This window comes from Homo sapiens, chromosome 9, assembly GCF_000001405.40.
Source record: "Homo sapiens chromosome 9, GRCh38.p14 Primary Assembly".
Classification (NCBI taxonomy): Eukaryota; Metazoa; Chordata; class Mammalia; order Primates; family Hominidae; genus Homo; species Homo sapiens.
The window spans coordinates 35087822-35103997 of record NC_000009.12 but is presented as its reverse complement, the minus strand read 5'-3'; the positions used below and the strand labels follow the sequence as shown (position 1 = coordinate 35103997).

The 16176-nt window shown below is 51.9% G+C and overlaps 2 protein-coding genes and 1 long non-coding RNA gene across 12 annotated transcripts, besides 5 other annotated features; 2 read left to right on the top strand and 1 right to left on the bottom strand.

The window, feature by feature from the left end:
* Positions 1 to 245: 245 nt before the first annotated feature.
* Positions 246 to 7694, bottom strand: PIGO-AS1 (PIGO antisense RNA 1). 3 transcript variants are annotated; one of them, NR_186493.1, is made up of 3 exons: positions 7578 to 7694; positions 4091 to 4245; positions 246 to 3987 (listed from the first exon to the last, which is right to left on the bottom strand). It is a non-coding gene; the product is annotated as a PIGO antisense RNA 1 (long non-coding RNA). The 3 variants fall into 3 exon arrangements; NR_186492.1 differs by lacking the exons at positions 246 to 3987; positions 4091 to 4245 and adding an exon at positions 4418 to 4881; NR_186491.1 differs by lacking the exons at positions 246 to 3987; positions 4091 to 4245 and adding an exon at positions 5854 to 6238.
* Positions 600 to 649: an enhancer, noted in NCBI's record as "active region_28324". NCBI's record gives its function as "activates an Ori minimal core promoter by ATAC-STARR-seq in GM12878 lymphoblastoid cells {active_cell/tissue: GM12878}" and the evidence as "EXISTENCE:reporter gene assay evidence [ECO:0000049][PMID:35858748]".
* Positions 770 to 819: an enhancer, noted in NCBI's record as "active region_28323". NCBI's record gives its function as "activates an Ori minimal core promoter by ATAC-STARR-seq in GM12878 lymphoblastoid cells {active_cell/tissue: GM12878}" and the evidence as "EXISTENCE:reporter gene assay evidence [ECO:0000049][PMID:35858748]".
* On the top strand, positions 803 to 4222 carry STOML2 (stomatin like 2). 4 transcript variants are annotated; one of them, NM_001287032.1, is made up of 10 exons: positions 803 to 837; positions 1175 to 1312; positions 1804 to 1903; positions 2036 to 2094; positions 2187 to 2288; positions 2438 to 2572; positions 2719 to 2863; positions 2987 to 3066; positions 3272 to 3400; positions 3826 to 4222. In NM_001287032.1, the coding sequence occupies exons 2-10, from the start codon at positions 1283 to 1285 to the stop codon at positions 3961 to 3963; spliced, it is 918 nt and encodes a 305-aa protein (NP_001273961.1). In that variant the 5' UTR covers positions 803 to 837; positions 1175 to 1282; the 3' UTR covers positions 3964 to 4222. The 4 variants fall into 4 exon arrangements, with proteins under 4 accessions (NP_001273961.1, NP_038470.1, NP_001273962.1 ...); NM_013442.3 differs by lacking the exon at positions 803 to 837 and adding an exon at positions 867 to 948 and having other exon boundaries at positions 3826 to 4220; NM_001287033.2 differs by lacking the exons at positions 803 to 837; positions 1175 to 1312 and adding an exon at positions 867 to 948 and having other exon boundaries at positions 3826 to 4220.
* Positions 830 to 1099: an enhancer, noted in NCBI's record as "active region_28322". NCBI's record gives its function as "activates an Ori minimal core promoter by ATAC-STARR-seq in GM12878 lymphoblastoid cells {active_cell/tissue: GM12878}" and the evidence as "EXISTENCE:reporter gene assay evidence [ECO:0000049][PMID:35858748]".
* Positions 1230 to 1489: an enhancer, noted in NCBI's record as "active region_28321". NCBI's record gives its function as "activates an Ori minimal core promoter by ATAC-STARR-seq in GM12878 lymphoblastoid cells {active_cell/tissue: GM12878}" and the evidence as "EXISTENCE:reporter gene assay evidence [ECO:0000049][PMID:35858748]".
* Positions 7401 to 7740: an enhancer, noted in NCBI's record as "active region_28320". NCBI's record gives its function as "activates an Ori minimal core promoter by ATAC-STARR-seq in GM12878 lymphoblastoid cells {active_cell/tissue: GM12878}" and the evidence as "EXISTENCE:reporter gene assay evidence [ECO:0000049][PMID:35858748]".
* On the top strand, positions 7407 to 15310 carry PIGO (phosphatidylinositol glycan anchor biosynthesis class O). Of its 5 annotated transcripts, NM_001201484.2 has the most exons (13): positions 7407 to 7843; positions 8022 to 8119; positions 8432 to 8943; positions 9639 to 9782; positions 9974 to 10097; positions 10418 to 10577; positions 10789 to 10968; positions 11231 to 11455; positions 12707 to 12758; positions 13326 to 13532; positions 13718 to 13932; positions 14548 to 14618; positions 14777 to 15310. In NM_001201484.2, exons 3-13 carry the CDS (start codon positions 8433 to 8435, stop codon positions 14904 to 14906), a joined length of 2019 nt encoding a protein of 672 aa, NP_001188413.1. In that variant the 5' UTR covers positions 7407 to 7843; positions 8022 to 8119; position 8432; the 3' UTR covers positions 14907 to 15310. The 5 variants fall into 5 exon arrangements, with proteins under 5 accessions (NP_001188413.1, NP_690577.2, XP_005251676.1 ...); NM_152850.4 differs by lacking the exon at positions 8022 to 8119 and having other exon boundaries at positions 7407 to 7437; XM_005251619.4 differs by lacking the exon at positions 8022 to 8119 and having other exon boundaries at positions 7407 to 7437; positions 11231 to 12758.

Here is a 16176-nt window from a genome sequence, read left to right as displayed (position 1 = left end):
GTCTTAGGCTAGTCCCTGCTGATTCCTGGGGCCTGGTTTTTCTCCTTTCGGAGGGGTTGGTGGGTAAAGTTCAGCCGTAGAAGCTGAACTCTGAATTGTAGATCAGGATTCTAATACTGGTTCTATTAATGACTTTAGCCCCTCAGAACTTCAGTGCCCTCATATGTAAAATGGAGGTGACTACGGAGGTCTCTTGACTACCAGAGCATTAGGGATGTGGGCAAGGTGACATGCTCCAGACAAGGTTGAACGTTGAGGCTGTTTGCTGGACTGTATTTAAGACCGGGCATAACAAACCTTGCTTGGGAAGACAGGGAAGGAGCTGCAGTGTCTTTGAGGAAAGAGGGGAGGGGAAAATCTCGGCCCAATCGCCAGGCAATATTAGGCCCAGTTTCCATGGCAACGGGATTGGGGTCAGTCCCCAGTGGGAGTCCTGGGCACAACACAGCGGGACTACCAGAGAATATCACTATGGCAACCATGGCAACGAGTCAGCTCCAATCCACTAGTCGCTATGGTGACAGATGGGGGCGATACTACGCTCTGGTGGGCAAACTGAGTCTCGGGTGAGGACGAATAATTCAGTGCGTGGTGTCTGAGTGATAATGCCCGCGAAAAATAGCCTCCATTTTGGCCATCAGGCCGGGGATCTTCGGCGTGAACAGCTAAACCCAGAACAACCACAGCCTTCGCCCTTCTCTAGAAGGTCTGCGTTTCCCAGGGAACAACTTGACGCGCCGTTCGACCAAGTAACGCTGATTGGGTGAGTGTTGAAGCGGGGGAGGGAGCTGCCGGAAGTACATCCGGGGGAGCGGAACTGCAAGAGGAAAGGCTCGGGTAGGCTTCTGGGAGCGACCGCTCCGCTCGTCTCGTTGGTTCCGGAGGTCGCTGCGGCGGTGGGAAATGCTGGCGCGCGCGGCGCGGGGCACTGGGGCCCTTTTGCTGAGGGTGAGAGCGAGGCAACCTTTCCAGAGGGTCAGGACAGAGATTACCTGGGTTCTCCGCTGGAAAAGAGCGAAATTCCAACTTTTGGAGAGGACTGGGGTCAGAGGTCATGGTCCCCATGTGATTCTCCGAGGATCCTGAGGGTCGTGGTTTATGGAGATGCCTTCAGGACCGAGGGGCGGCGTGTCTGGCCAGATGGGATCTCTGCTCACCCTCTTCTTTCCTTCAGGGCTCTCTACTGGCTTCTGGCCGCGCTCCGCGCCGCGCCTCCTCTGGATTGCCCCGAAACACCGTGGTACTGTTCGTGCCGCAGCAGGAGGCCTGGGTGGTGGAGCGAATGGGCCGATTCCACCGGATCCTGGAGCCTGTGAGAAACCTCTTCTGCCCACCCTGGGCCAGCCAGATGACCAATCCCTCACGACATGCAATGTCGGGAGGACTTCCTTTGGGCCTGCCCGCACTGTTAGCTCCCGACTCTGTAGGCCAGACCTGACAGGGCCCAGGCTGCTGACCATCATCCCCATGTTACCACCTTTTCCTATGCATCTCACAGGCCCCATTCTTGGGAATCTCCCCTGCCCACTCTCAGCCCTACCTCTCAGTCTGCATAGAGATGGCTATTCTGCTGGCTCCGATTCTCATGACTCTCCCCTCCATTCAGGGGCCTAGTCTTGCATTCCTGTTCTCTTGGGTTTTCTTACCAGTGACACCTCAGCCTTCTGAGGACTTATTTCTTGGTAGGAGCTGCTGCTTTTCTGGGCATGTTCCATGTGTTGACTCCCTACATACTCCAGGACTAGCTTAGGTCCCAACCCAATAGTTCCCAGCCTTCTGAGGACCCATGACTCCTCTTTCCAGGGTTTGAACATCCTCATCCCTGTGTTAGACCGGATCCGATATGTGCAGAGTCTCAAGGAAATTGTCATCAACGTGCCTGAGCAGTCGGCTGTGACTCTCGGTGAGGGGTTCAGGGTGACATGGGTGCTCTGAGGCTATTAGGATGTGGTTGCTGTAGATCCAGAGCTTAGTAGAAAGAACTGGTTGGGACCTAGAGGCCTGACTTTCCCCGTTTTCTCTCCTGGTTCTACAGACAATGTAACTCTGCAAATCGATGGAGTCCTTTACCTGCGCATCATGGACCCTTACAAGGTACCTGTCCCCTACTTTATCCAGCCTTTTGAGTTGCCCTCTTCACTAAAATCTTGTGCCCAAGCTTCTTACACTATCCGTGTCCATCTCAGGCAAGCTACGGTGTGGAGGACCCTGAGTATGCCGTCACCCAGCTAGCTCAAACAACCATGAGATCAGAGCTCGGCAAACTCTCTCTGGACAAAGTCTTCCGGGTAAGCAGATCTGAGCCAGAGTTAGGGTTTGAAGACACAAACCTGACACTCTTAATCTTTTCTGAAGGTCAAGATCAGTCCCAGGCCCTTCTCAGTGTAGGCCCTTGATAGGTAGGTTGAGGCTGTGGGGCTTACACCTCTTTTTCCAGGAACGGGAGTCCCTGAATGCCAGCATTGTGGATGCCATCAACCAAGCTGCTGACTGCTGGGGTATCCGCTGCCTCCGTTATGAGATCAAGGATATCCATGTGCCACCCCGGGTGAAAGAGTCTATGCAGATGCAGGTGGGGGCCAAGGAGGGGTGGGAAAAGGGCCTCAGGGTGCTCCAGTACCAGGAGGATCCAGACTTCCCTCCTGTTATGATGGGTAGAGTTGCATGTCTGTATCAGTCTCCCTTGGCTTGTTGATTGGGATTGTTGTGGGCTTCCAGGTGGAGGCAGAGCGGCGGAAACGGGCCACAGTTCTAGAGTCTGAGGGGACCCGAGAGTCGGCCATCAATGTGGCAGAAGGGAAGAAACAGGCCCAGATCCTGGCCTCCGAAGCAGAAAAGGCTGAACAGATAAATCAGGCAGCAGGTCAGGAGAGGGTAGAGGCTGAGGGAGGAGCAAGGCATGGGCCTTTGAAGATTGGTGCTGGGGCAGGATCTTTGGGGTACTTTGACTTCATGGGTCAAGCAAGCTCTGTCCCTTCTCTTGCAGGAGAGGCCAGTGCAGTTCTGGCGAAGGCCAAGGCTAAAGCTGAAGCTATTCGAATCCTGGCTGCAGCTCTGACACAACATGTGAGAGGCCCCTGGGTGGGAATGGGGACAGGAATTGACAGTGGAAGGGGTTCTCTTATCTACGCTTGAGGAGAGTTCCGCCTCTGTGGGCTCTGTTGAGCCAGATTACATGGTCCTTTTTATTGTGAACTGCTTTCTTCATTCCCCATCCCCCCCTTCTTCTCCGTATCGGTGATCTCTGATTTTTATCCCCCTGTGATCACAGAATGGAGATGCAGCAGCTTCACTGACTGTGGCCGAGCAGTATGTCAGCGCGTTCTCCAAACTGGCCAAGGACTCCAACACTATCCTACTGCCCTCCAACCCTGGCGATGTCACCAGCATGGTGGCTCAGGTTAGAGCTCTCTGAGGACCCAGCATAGAGCACTGGTGCCAGGGACCAAACTGAGACCCCACCACCGTCATCAACACTTACATACCATAAAGGTCTTCAGAGTGCCTTGGCCCTAGACCTCCCTTCATTCTTTGTAGAGATGGAATCTAAGAATGAAACATCTCCACTCAGTCCTGCAAATATGGAAGTTCTTGAGATACCTTTTTTTGGTAGATACTTGTGCTGGTATTCTGAGAGTCACTTTACTCTGATGGTTTGCAAGATTCCTAAAATCAACTCCAGAGCTTACAAGACAGGTTTGAGAGAGGGAGAAAGGAAAACCAACTTACTGGCCCCCATGCCATCTTTTCCCGTTTAGCCATTGGTAGGCTGGGCTGCACCTCTGTCAAGTGTCCTCATGGTATTCTCTCTGTTCCTCTCCTCAGGCCATGGGTGTATATGGAGCCCTCACCAAAGCCCCAGTGCCAGGGACTCCAGACTCACTCTCCAGTGGGAGCAGCAGAGATGTCCAGGGTACAGATGCAAGTCTTGATGAGGAACTTGATCGAGTCAAGATGAGTTAGTGGAGCTGGGCTTGGCCAGGGAGTCTGGGAACAAGGAAGCAGATTTTCCTGATTCTGGCTCTAGCTTCCCTGCCAAGATTTTGGTTTTTATTTTTTTATTTGAACTTTAGTCGTGTAATAAACTCACCAGTGGCAAACCAGAAACTGTCCTCTTTGATTGGGGAATGAAGTTGGGAAAGTCACTAGCATTTTCCTTGGATCCAGTCCTGTCAGCATGATGCCTCCATGAATAAGAGTGAACTTCTTGTAAAGTGAAACTATCATTTTTGTCTTCAAGAGAAACTGTGGGATAGGGTGGAAGTGTTAAACCATATGTTCACTGAACTGCTGGCTGGGAAGTGAAGTCCCCTTCCTGCTAAGTGTGGGGCTGTGTGTTTGAGGCAGGTGTTTGGGGGTTTTTTCGTGGGAAAGAAGTACTTTCATGAGAAACTACTACCCTGCACTGGCATACTTAAAGGGTTTTCAGGGACTGAGGGTGCTCCTCATTCATTTATTCAAAAACATTGAATGTCTACCAAGTGCCAAGCTCATTACTAGACACTGGATTACAAAAATACCTGAAACCCAGTGGTCCCTGCTTTCACAGAATACAAGGTCAGGTAGGGAAAACAGACAGGAAGCAGACAGTGATAGAAAGTGATAAATGTGGCCGGGCGTGGTGGCTCAACACCCGTAATCCCAGCACTTTGGGAGGCTGAGGTGTGCAGATCATGAGGTCAGGAGATTGAGACCATCCTGGCCAATATGGTGAAACCCCGTCTACTAAAAATACAAAAACTAGCTGGGCGTGGTAGCATGTGCGGGTAGTCCCAGTTGCTTGGGAGGCTGAGGCAGGAGAATTGCATGAACCTGGGAGGTGGAGGCTGCAGTGAGCCGTGATCACGCCATTGCACTCCAGCCTGGCAACAGTGAGACACTCTGTTAAAAAAAAAAAAAAAAGTGATAAATGCTGTGGTAGAGGAAAGTTCTGGCTGAGGGATCTTGGTGGGAAGAGCATATCAGCTTATGAGTAGCAGCGTTGCTGATTGCCACTGAACTCAGGCTGGAAAAGTTAGCAAGTTTTCACCAAGTCAGGTCCTGGACTAGAATAAACAAAGGCTCACTGCTTGAGAGAAGTTGGCTGAAGGGTATAGTGTTAAGGGGGATGTGACTACATGGCAAGGGCCAAGTCACAAGGAATGAGATTCTTGTTGAAGGGGTTGGACATTATCCCTAGGGTAATAGGGTTTTTTTGTTTGTTTGTTTGAGACAGCGTCTCCCTCTGTTGTCCAGGCTGGAGTGCAATGGCATGATCTCGGCTCACTGCAACCTCCGCCTCCCGGGTTCAAGCAATTCTCCTGCCTCAGCCTCCTTAGTAGCTGGGATTACAGGCATGCGCCACCATACCTGGCTAATTTTTTTGTTTTTTGTAGAGACAGGGTTTCACCATGTTGGTCAGGCTGATCTCGAACTCCAGACCTCGTGATCTGCCCGCCTGAGCCTCCCAAAGTGCTGGGATTACAGGCGTGAGCCACTGTGCCCGGCCTATGAAGGGTTTTTTTCCCTTCCCATGAAGAATTTTAAGATAAAACATCACATTGGCCAGGCACAGTGACTCATACCTGTGATCCCAGCACTTTGGGAGGCTGAGGTGGGAGGATCACTTGAGCCCAGGAGTTGACCAGCCTGGGCAACATGGTAAGACCCTATCTCTACAAAAAAGAAAAAAATAACAGTAATCACATTAATGTTTTAGTTAGAGCTGTCTTGCTGCAATGTGGAGAAGGGATAGTAGGGAGACACAGGAGGCTGGGAGGACAGTGAGAAGGCTGCCTCAGTGATCCTGGAGAAGGGATGAGGTCTGAACTGAGATAAGGGGCTATGGGGATGAAGGTGGAAGAATAACTCAACTTTTTTTAAAAATTAACATATTCCTTTATTCGTTTGGTCAGTATGTGAACCTCAAATATATGCTAGGTGCTGAGGATATCATGAAGAAAACAGAATTCCCTGACCTCAATGAGCTCACATTCTACTCGGAGGGGATAAACCATAAATACGTGTAGAATTTCAGATGCTGATGAGTTGTGCTATGGAAGAAATTAAGGAAGTGAGGGGAAATTTTTCCAGGGGGTGTGGTGGTGGGAGGTGCTGAACTAGTAAAGTAGGGGATTGCAGGAAGCCTTGCTGATGTTACAGTTGAGCTTCAATATGAAGGTGATGGAGATCCATTTCGGCATCGGGAACTGAAGCTGACAGAGGAGATGGCAAATGCAAAGGTCCTGAGGCAGAACTGCTGTGGATGGAACAGAGTTAGGGAAGCAAAGAAGTGGCAGCTAGATGAATCAGAAGGGGAAGAGGCAGATAGTGTGCAGGGCCATGTAGAGCCAATGCAAGAACTTTTACTCTGAGATGAGAAACCAGTGGACGGGTTTTGTTTCTTTTTGAGACAGAGTCTTGCTCTGTTGCCTAGGCTGGAGTGCAGTAGCACGATCTCAGCTCACTGTAGCCTCTGCCTCCTGGCTTCAAGCAATTGTCCAGTCTCAGCCTCCTCAGTAGCTGGGACTACAGGTACACATCGCCACGCCTGGCTAAATTTTGTAATTTTTAGTAGAGTTGGGGTTTCAGCATGTTGGCCAGGCTGGTCTCCAATTCCTGACTTCAACTGATTCTCCAGCCTCAGCCTCCCAAAGTGCTGGGCTTACAGGTGTGAGTCATCGTGCCTGGCATTTTTTTTTTTTTTTTTGAGAGGGAGTCTTGCTCTGTTGCCCAGGCTGGAGTGCAGTGGTGCAATCTCGGCTCACTGCAACCTCTGCCTCCTGGGTTCGAGTGATTCTCCTGCCTCAGCCTCCCAGGTATCTGGGATCACAGGCGCCCGCCACCACTCCCGGGTAACTTTTGTATTTTCAGTAGAGACGGCGTTTCGTCATATTGGCCGGGCTGGTCTTGAACTCCTGACCTTAGGTGATCCACCTGCCTTGACCTCCCAAAGTGCTGGGATTACAGGTGTGAACCACTGGGCCCAGCCTCCCCTCCTCCACTCCGAAGGATTATTTGCTTAATTATTCAGTCGTAAGATTTAGTTACAGGCTTTGAAAGGAGGAGTAATGAAATCTCAGTTGGACTCAGCTAAGCAAAAAAGGGAAAATAAGTATTATCTCCATTTTACAGATGAGGTAATGCCTAATGATGACAATATGTGCGGCCAAGCTAGGATTCAAGTCAAGTTTGACTCCAGCAGCCGTGCTCTTAGTCGTAACCATGAATGGACAGTGGTTCCCTGAACTCTTCCTCCAGCTTGGTCCCCTGTCCCCAATTTTCAATTACTAAATATCCCATCAAACTGGGGCCAGCCCCACGCTCCTGGCCAAACTTCCACCGAGGTGCCGGCAGATGGCGATGGAGCCACCGACGGGCCACTCTGTCTGGCGCACGCATCTCTGTGCTGCCAGGTCGCAGGCGCCGCCGCCGCCGCACTTCCGGGTGCCATTGCAGGTGAGCCAGGGTCTCCCGAGAACCTCACCCCCCGGTATTCCCCTCACCCTGAAGTAAGGGAGTCTCCCTCTTCCCCTCAGCTCCTAACCAAGGTGCTCAGTACCGCGGCTAGGGTGCCCAGCGGGAGGCTGGGTAGTTACCGGAGGAGGCAGAGCCGGTCGCACGCCTGGGTCCCAGCGGAGGCCCAGTCGACTCTCGACCCGGGCCCCAGCCTCCTTGCGTGGCGAAGGTCGTGCCTCAGGTCTCCTGGCGAACCTGGCCGCCCGGAAGCGGAGAGTGACTCCTCCCCTTCGTCCCCTCGGTGCCCGCCAGGCGGCGCCGTCGGCTGGGCCCGGATTCCCCTGCGGCTTCGATCCCTTTCCACTGGGTATTGAGATTGGCGAGGGGAGAGGCGCAGAAACGGCGTGTAAGAGAGCCTGACTACCAATTGGAATAAGTTTCCCTCCTGACTGTTCACATGTACAGGCAGCATTAGCATTTCCTGCCTGTACATGTGAACGTTCCTATGCTCTACCCCTCGAAGATCCTGATTCAGTAGATCTGGGGTGGGACCTCATGAAACGGCGTCTCCCTCTGTTGTCCAGACTCTAGTGCAGTGGTTCAATCTCGGCTCACTGCAACCTCCGCCTCCCCGATTCAAGCGATTCTCCTGCGTCAGCCTCCCCAGTAGCTGAGACTACAGGTGCCCGCCACCCATTTTTGTATTTTTAGTAGGGACGGGGTTTCGCCATTTTGGCCAGGCTGGTCTCGAACTCCTCACCTCAGGTGATCCGCCCGCCTCGGCCTCCCAAAGTGCTGGGATTACAGGCGTGAGCCACCATGCCCAGCCTGGAAATAGGAGGAGAGTAATATTGCGAGGGGTTGGCTGTGAAATGGTTTATCTCCAGGAAGGTTTCCGGGAGGAAGTGATTCTAGCTGGGCTTGTATTCAGGGACCAGAATATCCACTGGTTCTTTGCCCCACAGTAATGAATTTACTTCCCCACCCCTATCAGGATGCAGAAAGCCTCAGTGTTGCTCTTCCTGGCCTGGGTCTGCTTCCTCTTCTACGCTGGCATTGCCCTCTTCACCAGTGGCTTCCTGCTCACCCGTTTGGAGCTCACCAACCATAGCAGCTGCCAAGAGCCCCCAGGCCCTGGGTCCCTGCCATGGGGGAGCCAAGGGAAACCTGGGGCCTGCTGGATGGCTTCCCGATTTTCGCGGGTTGTGTTGGTGCTGATAGATGCTCTGCGATTTGACTTCGCCCAGCCCCAGCATTCACACGTGCCTAGAGAGCCTCCTGTCTCCCTACCCTTCCTGGGCAAACTAAGCTCCTTGCAGAGGATCCTGGAGATTCAGCCCCACCATGCCCGGCTCTACCGATCTCAGGTTGACCCTCCTACCACCACCATGCAGCGCCTCAAGGCCCTCACCACTGGCTCACTGCCTACCTTTATTGATGCTGGTAGTAACTTCGCCAGCCACGCCATAGTGGAAGACAATCTCATTAAGCAGCTCACCAGTGCAGGTCAGTGTGGGCCACTTTGAAGGCCAGAAGTACCTTGGCAAATTTCTTCAAAATTTGAAGTCAGGGAGTCAGACCTTTGGGTGCCCAGATGCACACTTGATTATGGTGTAGGGGGACAGAGGAGAAGAAAGAGGCCAGGGCCCTGCTGGTAGGGAGCTCAGTTTGGGGGACAGAGGAGAAGAAAGAGGCCAGGGCCCTGCTGGTAGGGAGCTCAGTTTGGGAGACAGAGGAGAAGGGATCTGGGCTTTGTTCCTATGAAGCTTCTAATCTGAATGGAGTGTAAGTTTTATTCTTGGAGACCTCTCAGTAAAAGGGAGAAGGGAAGAAGAGAAGATGTGGATCTTGGCTTGCAAGTGTGGAGAAGAAAGCAGAGAAATACAGGCCCTGTTCATTCACTGACTGGGAAGAAGCAGGATACACCCAGGAAAAACAACTCAGTAGAGATACCCAGAGACAGAACTAGGAGAGCATTTTGTAGGAAGGATAAGTGTGAGGTCTGGGTGGAGTACGGTTATCAGGGAAAGCTTCCTGGTGGAAAATGTTAGGCCCTGAAGGATAAGGATTGCTGTATGGAATTGCTGTACTTTAGGTTGCATGGTTGGGACTTCTGATGGGTCTTTAAAGGGCCTCTTTTCCTCTTTTCTCCTAACCCTGACGTTTGCTCAGGCTCTGACTTCTCTTTCATGTCCCTGCAGGAAGGCGTGTAGTCTTCATGGGAGATGATACCTGGAAAGACCTTTTCCCTGGTGCTTTCTCCAAAGCTTTCTTCTTCCCATCCTTCAATGTCAGAGACCTAGACACAGTGGACAATGGCATCCTGGAACACCTCTACCCCACCAGTGAGCATGGGGCCAGAGCACTTAGTTCTAAGACTGGGAGCTGGGGAGAACTGCTTTAGTCCACAAATTCTGAGCCACCTATGGGTGTAACAGCCTGGGCTTGTATCCCTGGACATAGAGGAGTGTCAAAGCCTGGCTGGGGTTGAGGAGTGGGTCTTAGTCTTCTGTGCTCAGTGTTCTCCCCTTCACAGTGGACAGTGGTGAATGGGACGTGCTGATTGCTCACTTCCTGGGTGTGGACCACTGTGGCCACAAGCATGGCCCTCACCACCCTGAAATGGCCAAGAAACTTAGCCAGATGGACCAGGTGATCCAGTGAGTGTGGGGTATTGGCTGGGGGAGTGGGTTTGTGTCTGAGAATCTCGAAGAAGCTCTTATCTTAGAGCTTCTTTCCTGGCTGAATTCTGTCTTCTCTAGGCCTTCTGCTGAAGCTAGAGGCTCCATCCATCTTGATTAACTCAATGTGTAGCTTTGGGCATCAGGATCATGGCCGAAGACATGTCTCTTTGCCAAAGGTCTAGGCCTTACTAATGGAGTTATAGCTGGGGATGAATAGGCCCCTGGAGAAAAATCTTTTTTCTTTTTGAGAAAAATATTTATCCGTTTCTACTCCTGACACATTTATTGGCCCCCAGGGGACTTGTGGAGCGTCTGGAGAATGACACACTGCTGGTAGTGGCTGGGGACCATGGGATGACCACAAATGGAGACCATGGAGGGGACAGTGAGCTGGAGGTCTCAGCTGCTCTCTTTCTGTATAGCCCCACAGCAGTCTTCCCCAGCACCCCACCAGAGGTGAGGCCTGGGATGTTCCTCATCTGTTCTCCCAGTAATCAGCCCATGTTACCATTACAGCATCCTCATGAATACCTCTATTTTAGGCCCCCAAATCCATGATCCTGGGTATCCTCCACTCTCATTTCTTACCTAGGCCCCTATGTCTGCCATCCCAAACATTGACTTCAGCTTTGTGATGAATCTGTTGACCACTGTCATTTTCCTTTAGGAGCCAGAGGTGATTCCTCAAGTTAGCCTTGTGCCCACGCTGGCCCTGCTGCTGGGCCTGCCCATCCCATTTGGGAATATCGGGGAAGTGATGGCTGAGCTATTCTCAGGGGGTGAGGACTCCCAGCCCCACTCCTCTGCTTTAGCCCAAGCCTCAGCTCTCCATCTCAATGCTCAGCAGGTAGGTAAGCGGGCTGGGTTTCCAGGTGACAGAGCTAGGGTGGGCATGAAAGAAGCATAATGAACCACTCTTTTGTCCTTTGACTAGTCTTAGTCCCACCTTCCATACCTATCCCTCTTCCGTTATCCCTCCCTTCCCCGATTCTGGACAGAGTTTGGGTCCTTGACTTCCAGGTACCCCCTTTTGTAATACCTATTCTTGCCTCTGCCCCAATTTATGTCTCTGACCTGTTCCCCTTGGCCTCTGACCTTTTCTCTGCCAGGTGTCCCGATTTCTTCATACCTACTCAGCTGCTACTCAGGACCTTCAAGCTAAGGAGCTTCATCAGCTGCAGAACCTCTTCTCCAAGGCCTCTGCTGACTACCAGTGGCTTCTCCAGAGCCCCAAGGGGGCTGAGGCGACACTGCCGACTGTGATTGCTGAGCTGCAGCAGTTCCTGCGGGGAGCTCGGGCCATGTGCATCGAGTCTTGGGCTCGTTTCTCTCTGGTCCGCATGGCGGGGGGTACTGCTCTCTTGGCTGCTTCCTGCTTTATCTGCCTGCTGGCATCTCAGTGGGCAATATCCCCAGGCTTTCCATTCTGCCCTCTACTCCTGACACCTGTGGCCTGGGGCCTGGTTGGGGCCATAGCGTATGCTGGACTCCTGGGAACTATTGAGCTGAAGCTAGATCTAGTGCTTCTAGGGGCTGTGGCTGCAGTGAGCTCATTCCTCCCTTTTCTGTGGAAAGCCTGGGCTGGCTGGGGGTCCAAGAGGCCCCTGGCAACCCTGTTTCCCATCCCTGGGCCCGTCCTGTTACTCCTGCTGTTTCGCTTGGCTGTGTTCTTCTCTGATAGTTTTGTTGTAGCTGAGGCCAGGGCCACCCCCTTCCTTTTGGGCTCATTCATCCTGCTCCTGGTTGTCCAGCTTCACTGGGAGGGCCAGCTGCTTCCACCTAAGCTACTCACAATGCCCCGCCTTGGCACTTCAGCCACAACAAACCCCCCACGGCACAATGGTGCATATGCCCTGAGGCTTGGAATTGGGTTGCTTTTATGTACAAGGCTAGCTGGGCTTTTTCATCGTTGCCCTGAAGAGACACCTGTTTGCCACTCCTCTCCCTGGCTGAGTCCTCTGGCATCCATGGTGGGTGGTCGAGCCAAGAATTTGTGGTATGGAGCTTGTGTGGCGGCGCTGGTGGCCCTGTTAGCTGCCGTGCGCTTGTGGCTTCGCCGCTATGGTAATCTCAAGAGCCCCGAGCCACCCATGCTCTTTGTGCGCTGGGGACTGCCCCTAATGGCATTGGGTACTGCTGCCTACTGGGCATTGGCGTCGGGGGCAGATGAGGCTCCCCCCCGTCTCCGGGTCCTGGTCTCTGGGGCATCCATGGTGCTGCCTCGGGCTGTAGCAGGGCTGGCTGCTTCAGGGCTCGCGCTGCTGCTCTGGAAGCCTGTGACAGTGCTGGTGAAGGCTGGGGCAGGCGCTCCAAGGACCAGGACTGTCCTCACTCCCTTCTCAGGCCCCCCCACTTCTCAAGCTGACTTGGATTATGTGGTCCCTCAAATCTACCGACACATGCAGGAGGAGTTCCGGGGCCGGTTAGAGAGGACCAAATCTCAGGGTCCCCTGACTGTGGCTGCTTATCAGTTGGGGAGTGTCTACTCAGCTGCTATGGTCACAGCCCTCACCCTGTTGGCCTTCCCACTTCTGCTGTTGCATGCGGAGCGCATCAGCCTTGTGTTCCTGCTTCTGTTTCTGCAGAGCTTCCTTCTCCTACATCTGCTTGCTGCTGGGATACCCGTCACCACCCCTGGTAAATATCTCAGCTCTGATTCACTTAAAGACAATAGTGATGTGAGTTCGGCCCCTCTTGTTTTCAAGGAGGTGTTGCTCCTCATGTTCCTGAGCTTGACAGAGGGTCCCATGCCCCACACAACTAGGAAGGTCTTCTTGGTGTCCTCTCTCTTACCTGCCATAGCCAAGCAAATTGATCCCTCCTGTTGGTTCCCAGGGTTCATGGAGAGGAGAGACAAGGAGTCCTCTAAGACTCCCTGTGGAAATGCTGCATCCTCATGAGCACATTTCTTGATTTTCCAGTGATGGAAGTAGTAAATTGTGAATATATAATGGCACTGAGCTGTATGTGTTTGAGAGAAAGAAAGAGATTGGCCATAGCAGGATTCAGATAAGCCTGATGGCGCTTTTGTACCACAGAGAGAATTAGAATAACAGAATGTTGACTGTAAGGAGGTTGGGCTGATAGGCATTTGAGTGTGTATGAGAATTGATACTGAAGTAGTAGGAGTATATGATTGTGGAGCAGTAGCCTATGGATTAGGGAATAAGAAGTGACTGTAACGTGGCATATCTTTTCTTCCAGGTCCTTTTACTGTGCCATGGCAGGCAGTCTCGGCTTGGGCCCTCATGGCCACACAGACCTTCTACTCCACAGGCCACCAGCCTGTCTTTCCAGCCATCCATTGGCATGCAGCCTTCGTGGGATTCCCAGAGGGTCATGGCTCCTGTACTTGGCTGCCTGCTTTGCTAGTGGGAGCCAACACCTTTGCCTCCCACCTCCTCTTTGCAGGTACCCCCTCCTCCTTCACTTGCTTCCATTGTTTACTCTGGCTTTGTGGAAAGAAAGGAAACCCCTGGATTTGAATGGAGAGATATGGGTTTGTTGGATCTTTGGCACCCCTTGGCCTAGGCTAATTGGAACCTGAGCCAGCCAGGGTGGCCTGTTGATTCCAGCCATACCCTCTCTTGAGGCAGTAGGTTGCCCACTGCTCCTGCTCTGGCCTTTCCTGTGTGAGAGTCAAGGGCTGCGGAAGAGACAGCAGCCCCCAGGGAATGAAGCTGATGCCAGAGTCAGACCCGAGGAGGAAGAGGAGCCACTGATGGAGATGCGGCTCCGGGATGCGCCTCAGCACTTCTATGCAGCACTGCTGCAGCTGGGCCTCAAGTACCTCTTTATCCTTGGTATTCAGGTGGGTGTAGGAGAGAGATCAGGGAGTTGGTGTTTTTTCTCTGTGTGTGCATCACTTTCTTTCAGACCTTCAAAACCGTGGGAGAGAGCCTTGACTGAGTTTCACATAAGTGAAGTGGTTGCCCAAGCCCAGTGGCCTCAAATGGCAGTTCTGAGACTTGAACCTGGGTCTCCTTAATCCTAGTCCTGGATCATTTCCCCTCTACAACCTAGATCTGGACCCCGCTAGTTGCATTTGAGGATTACTCTATCAGTGGACAGACTGGAAAAACTGAGGTGATAGCCAGGATTTTCTTCCCAAACTGTGGTCATGGATCCTCTTCCTTTCCTCCAGAGGCAGATGTGGCACTGATATCTTCCTCCATCCTGGGGGCACAGCCTGAGTGTTAGCATTGCAGATGGATACTGACTTGCCCAAAGTCACATAGTGAGTCAGTGCTTGGGGCAGGGCAGGAAGTAGGTCTCCTAACTCCTAGCCCAGGACATGCAATATTTTTTCCACTGACATGCACTATTCTCCTGCTTCCATTTTTTACAGGGGCCTATAGAAACTCTCCTTTTGCTCCGCTTCCTCCTCTCCTTCACAAGTAACGTGGCCCCTCCTCTCCTCCTCTAGATTCTGGCCTGTGCCTTGGCAGCCTCCATCCTTCGCAGGCATCTCATGGTCTGGAAAGTGTTTGCCCCTAAGTGAGTAGATTTGCTTGAGAAGTAGAGGTGGTGGGGAGGGAGAAACTTGGAACAAAGTATGAAGATCCTAAACATCCAGGATGGCCAAGGTTTTGCCTCTACAGGGAAAAGGCAGTAGACCTACTCTGTTGCCTGAGATTCTCCGCCTTTCTTTGCAGGTTCATATTTGAGGCTGTGGGCTTCATTGTGAGCAGCGTGGGACTTCTCCTGGGCATAGCTTTGGTGATGAGAGTGGATGGTGCTGTGAGCTCCTGGTTCAGGCAGCTATTTCTGGCCCAGCAGAGGTAGCCTAGTCTGTGATTACTGGCACTTGGCTACAGAGAGTGCTTGAGAACAGTGTAGCCTGGCCTGTACAGGTACTGGATGATCTGCAAGACAGGCTCAGCCATACTCTTACTATCATGCAGCCAGGGGCCGCTGACATCTAGGACTTCATTATTCTATAATTCAGGACCACAGTGGAGTATGATCCCTAACTCCTGATTTGGATGCATCTGAGGGACAAGGGGGGCGGTCTCCGAAGTGGAATAAAATAGGCCGGGCGTGGTGACTTGCACCTATAATCCCAGCACTTTGGGAGGCAGAGGTGGGAGGATTGCTTGGTCCCAGGAGTTCAAGACCAGCCTGTGGAACATAACAAGACCCCGTCTCTACTATTTAAAAAAAAGTGTAATAAAATGATAATATAATTATGTGTGTCTGAGATGTGGGGGAGCCCCACTGTTCTATAGGGGTTGTGAGGAGGATCAGTCTCTCCTGCCACCAGGCACAGATGAGATCAGTCATCTTAGGAAAGCCTGGCTGCACCTGAGAACCTTTATGAAGTGGTTGGAGTTGTCTGAATTCACTGCCTCCACCTCTTCCCAAATCAATCCTATTATCCCACCGCTATTTTCCTTTGCCATGCAACACATTTTGTTAAGTTCCTGTTCTTTGTCTGATAAAGAGAGAAGACTGAGAAGACAAGCCCAGGCATCATGCAGCACCGACTTTAACTGTCTGAAGCCCCAAATAGTGCTATGCCCCCGCTCCACTGGGCCTTTTCACTATAGAACACCCTTTGCCCTTCCCTTCTGTGGAAGCCTCCCTTGTTTCCCAACCTGTGCCACTCTTTATCAGATCTACATGCCCATCTTATGTAGCATTCCACCTTGTCCCATTCATTATTCCTGACTTGAAGCCAAAATTGTGTGAATCCACTGGTTCTTTTCTCATGTGTATGTTTTGTGCCCTCTGTTCACCCCAGCACTCCTGTCATGTTTGAAATGCTGGCATGAAATCCTCCTAGAGATGTCCATCAAAAGAGTTGGGAAGAGGCCCTGGAGAGAAGCATCAGGACTGGGATTTGAGGTTTGACAGTACCTAGAACAAGAGGAGCTGATACCACTGAAAAACAGAACAGATGTTAAAACCATGGGATAGCACCTACTTTTAGCTGGCATAAAGTAGAGAAGCTGAGTAGTAGTGGTTGTGAAGTATAAACGTTCACTGCTGTGGTAGGTAGCTAAGGGAAGAATTGAAATTATTTTTATTGTTACTATCATTTTAAAGACATATT

Excerpts from the sequence above, each read along its gene's own strand:
- STOML2 (NM_013442.3), top strand. The coding sequence starts at position 904 with ATGCTGGCGCGCGCGGCGCGGGGCACTGGGGCCCTTTTGCTGAGG. Across the intron at positions 2,864-2,986 it reads ACAGATAAATCAGGCAGCAG|GAGAGGCCAGTGCAGTTCTG; the intron begins GTCAGGAGAGGG and ends CTTCTCTTGCAG. Across the intron at positions 3,067-3,271 it reads CTGCAGCTCTGACACAACAT|AATGGAGATGCAGCAGCTTC; the intron begins GTGAGAGGCCCC and ends CTGTGATCACAG.
- PIGO (XM_005251619.4), top strand. The coding sequence starts at position 8,433 with ATGCAGAAAGCCTCAGTGTTGCTCTTCCTGGCCTGGGTCTGCTTCCTC. Across the intron at positions 13,533-13,717 it reads CTCCCACCTCCTCTTTGCAG|TAGGTTGCCCACTGCTCCTG; the intron begins GTACCCCCTCCT and ends CTCTTGAGGCAG. Across the intron at positions 13,933-14,547 it reads TCTTTATCCTTGGTATTCAG|ATTCTGGCCTGTGCCTTGGC; the intron begins GTGGGTGTAGGA and ends CTCCTCCTCTAG.